Source organism: Homo sapiens, chromosome 1 (assembly GCF_000001405.40).
Source record: "Homo sapiens chromosome 1, GRCh38.p14 Primary Assembly".
NCBI lineage: Eukaryota > Metazoa > Chordata > Mammalia > Primates > Hominidae > Homo > Homo sapiens.
The window spans coordinates 175,267,003-175,270,900 of NC_000001.11; the positions used below are offsets into that span (position 1 = coordinate 175,267,003).

At 42.7% G+C, this 3,898-nt stretch overlaps 1 annotated feature.

Annotated features, from left to right (window-relative positions):
* Positions 1,936–3,135: an enhancer, noted in NCBI's record as "MED14-independent group 3 enhancer chr1:175238074-175239273 (GRCh37/hg19 assembly coordinates)". NCBI's record gives its function as "activates an origin of replication core promoter dependent on BRD2, BRD4, P300/CBP and CDK7 cofactors, and independent of MED14, by STARR-seq in HCT116 cells {active_cell/tissue: HCT116}" and the evidence as "EXISTENCE:reporter gene assay evidence [ECO:0000049][PMID:35650434]".

A 3,898-nucleotide genomic window follows, 5' to 3' on the forward strand; every position in this document is an offset into this window, starting at 1 on the left:
TTTAGAAGAAGGGGCACTGAACATTGCTCCCAGGCCGTCTCTTGGTGTGCCACCCTCCAAGAAGCTTCATGTGTTCAGCTATCCTGAAGATTTCTGAAACCAGTCCTTTTGGATTTTTATGTAGGTTTCATTAAGTAGGCATGATTGATTAGATCATTGGCCATTGGTCACCAATTCAACCTTCAGTGTTCCCTCCTCTTCCCAGAGATTAGGGGGACCCAACTTTCTAATTAGGCCATGGTCTTTCGGGTGACTAACCCCCATCCTGAAGCTCTCAAGGTGCCCCCATCTACCAGGCATCTCAGCATACAAAAGACACTCATCACACCAGAGATTTCCAAGGGTTTTAGGAGATGAATGTCAGGAAATAGGATGAAGACCAAATATGTATTACAAAATAGCATACTTCCTACAAAGGAATTATAAACTGGGGTGCATGGGTAAGGTGATACTCCTGAGCTGCTGGGTGCTCAAAGAGTGTATCAAAATTTAAACAAGGAACCTCAACACTTGTAACTGAAAGACCCAGATCTTACTTATCTTTGGCTATGAAGTCAAATCAGATTTACAGTAATACTCCAAATATCAATGCTCAGAGCCTAAACATCCTTGACAGGCAGAGATCCCTTTGCTTCCAGGAGTTTCTCTTCCTAAATATTTCTGGGGCTGCTCTCACAGATGTTTGTGCATCTCAAATGTTCCCTTGGTTTCCTGGGGTTATGCTAGGTTGGGATCTGTGGGGGGCCAGCAGTTTCTCACAGTTGTCAGCAGAGCCTCTGCCAGCAGCTCTGACTTCCACAGCCATTGGTCAGCCAGGGATGCTGTGTATTCTTCCAGCTGGCCTGATGGCTTTAGGATGCTTCTCCCTCTGCGTCCATGGGGGAATGCCTTTCTCTGCTAATCAGCTCTTTCTGGAGTGTTTTGCAGAGCACAGCTGTTGAACTTCAGTGACACAGTCTCTCCTTTGCCCTACAGCCCATGCCTTCCCAGAGTGGACAGCTCAGCTAAGAGGAGTTTGGTTGGGTGATGTCAGACTCCACATCACACTCCCCTGGAACATTCACTCCTCCAAATCCCAGACCTATTCTACCACTAAGCTCACTTATATGTTTGTTTTGTTCTTGGCCATTAGGCATAGCAGGGCTGTTATTGGGTAGCCACTTTAGAGTCCTTTAATATTTCTGGGCAGTTAAGATGCTCCCTAAAACATGCTCAAGGAATCCCAAGAATTTCTTGAAGAAAGTGTTGCCTAATTTCACAACACTGACCTAGCCAGCTGTGTGTAGGGGTGGGGGGAGGTTAGGATAGGAGGCATATTTTTAATTTAAGTGTGAGAAAACTAATAAAATTATCTTTAAAAATGTAAACATGTATATTAATGCCTAGAAGGGTTACTTGGGGCAAGGGTGGTGAAGTGGGCATACAAAACCAAAAAAACACGTGAAGTTTTGATTGTAACTTTCAAACCTGAGCCATTGCCAGCAGTGGTAGCTCCACAGGTTTGAGGCAGCTTGGCTCATTAAATAACATGTTATTATAATGTTTGCTGGAGAGTCTCAGCTATTTGTAGATTAGTTTCTGAAAATTCATTTTGCCTTAACATTTGTACTAGACAGAGGAGGTGGAATGTATGTGTTGTAGGAGGTTGAGAGAGCAAAGTCTAACTGAATATGAAGTAAGGAAGTTGGGGAGGATAAAAAATATTTTGGGAAACTGGACATTTGTCATTCTTTTTGGCTGACTACTCAACTCTTCTCCTTTTATCTTGAGACATTCTCCTTTTTGGCAGAGAGCAGAGTCCTCTTCACTCAGTAGAACTTACATACCATTCTAACCTTCCTTCTAGATAGATTATAGGCATATGACTCAAGATACATGATGATTCATGAGTTCCATCCAAGGCAGATTGTAACTTAGAAGGTAGGAATCCAAAGAGCCAGGGCCACCAGGAAGCTATCTTGGTGAAGTTAATGGTGTCTGTGGTGGCTAGATCCAGTTTCCAGGGCTCATGGTAATGGTTCCAGCAGCCAGCAGGGGCCAATGTCCAGCATCAGTGTTGCCAGTGGGACAAGCAGTTGAGTCTGTGCCTGGTAAAAGCAACAGTTGTGCCTTCACAGAATCAGTTATATGAGGGAATTTTGAACGTTTTTCTTGGGTGGGTGGCATTTAAGATGATTCTGACACTCCTGGAACTTCCATGAGTAACACAATATCCTTCAATAATTTCCTTTCTGCCTTAATCACTCAGCTTGTCAGAGGCGTTTGAAGCAGAGCAACTCCATCTTGAATAGGGGTGGGAAAATGAGTTTGAGACTTGCTGGGCCACATTCCCAGGAGGCTAGGTATCTTAGTCACAAGGTATTTACAGTTAAGGGAACAGAAACAGATCCAGGCAATGTCCTGATGTCCTGATATCTTGAGAACAAAAGCATTCCTAGTTTAAGAACAAGTTTTGCTTTAAAGATAATAATATAGACTCTTGTGAAAGATAGTAGTTACACAAAGATTAGCAATACTTTATCCCAAATCCTTGTGGCAGAGCACATCTCTCCCATGATTTGTCTTTATATACAAACAAGTATTATACCTAAGGTGGGTGCATTCCTGTGCTTACTTTCAGGAACACCCTGCTCTGTCTATGGAGTAGCTATTCTTACATTCCCTTAGTTTTTAAAATAAACACGTATTCACTTTCCTCTGTGGACTTGGTCTGAATTCTTTCCTGCACAAGATCCAAGAACCCTCTCTTGGGGTCTTGATGGGGACAACTTTCTGGTAACTTCCTCCTGGTGAACCACAAAGGGACTAATGAAGAGACCCCTGACCCAAAGGAAATAAACTGCAACACCAATTGGCCAACTTTGGGTAAGTGGTGGGGGTATATTCTATACCAGGTAAAGAATGAAATTGGGTTAGAGACCCAACCTGGAAGGGTTGGAGCTCCACCTAAAACATAGGGGCTTAAAGACTCCTCTTGGTAAAGAGCAAGGATAGTTGTCCAAACTTGGGTTAAAGGCCCAACTTAGGGGGGTTAGAGTCCCTCCTAAGACATAGGGCATTAGAGATGCCCCTTGGTAAGCCCCCTCTTGGTTAAAAATAGATCTGACTCTACAGGATGTTTATCACTATTAACTTTGGATTAATTCACCTTGTCCTCTTTGCTTCCTGAATCAATTCCCTGGTTGCTGCCTTTGTTTCATGGCCACTTTCAGGAGACCTCATTTAACTGGTCTTGGGATTTTGAGTACCAGGATGGAAATCAGGGGATTTTCCTTGCTGTTTTGTTTCATTTGTACACTAACAAAGCTTCTTTCATTTCTTGGATTCAGGCAAATTGGCTTTGTTTGTCCAACTCATGCTGCCACTATTGCCCGGAACCTGCTCTCTCTGGTCATCCGCACCTAAATCCTTCTCATTTCCTTTGCCTTATTTGACATTTCTTTTGTCAGCTTCCATATCATGGTTTATCTAGGGCCCATGGCTCAGCCTGTTTATATTATCTGGCCAATATAAATAAGGGAATTCAATTTTCAGCAGGTTTTCCGTCATAATGCAGCGTGCCTTAAGAACTGTCTCCTTTTTGATGGAACTTGGCCAATGGCAATACAGTCTCACGGGTTTGGAAGTTTTCTTTCAACGTCATCTGCCTCCTTTATGGGGAATACAGCATGGATCCCAGAGGACTCACCACTAGGATGTATTCTTGAACATTGGGACAAGTTTAAACCAAATGGACTTAAGAAAAGAAAGTTGGTGGTTTCATATAATACTGTCTGGCCTCAAATTACTATACTTGGAAAAATAAGAAAAATGGTCAACTACCAGAACTATGGCCTTTAATACTATACTTCCACTTGATTTGTTTTGTAAGTGTGAGGGCAAATGGGATAAAACCAAT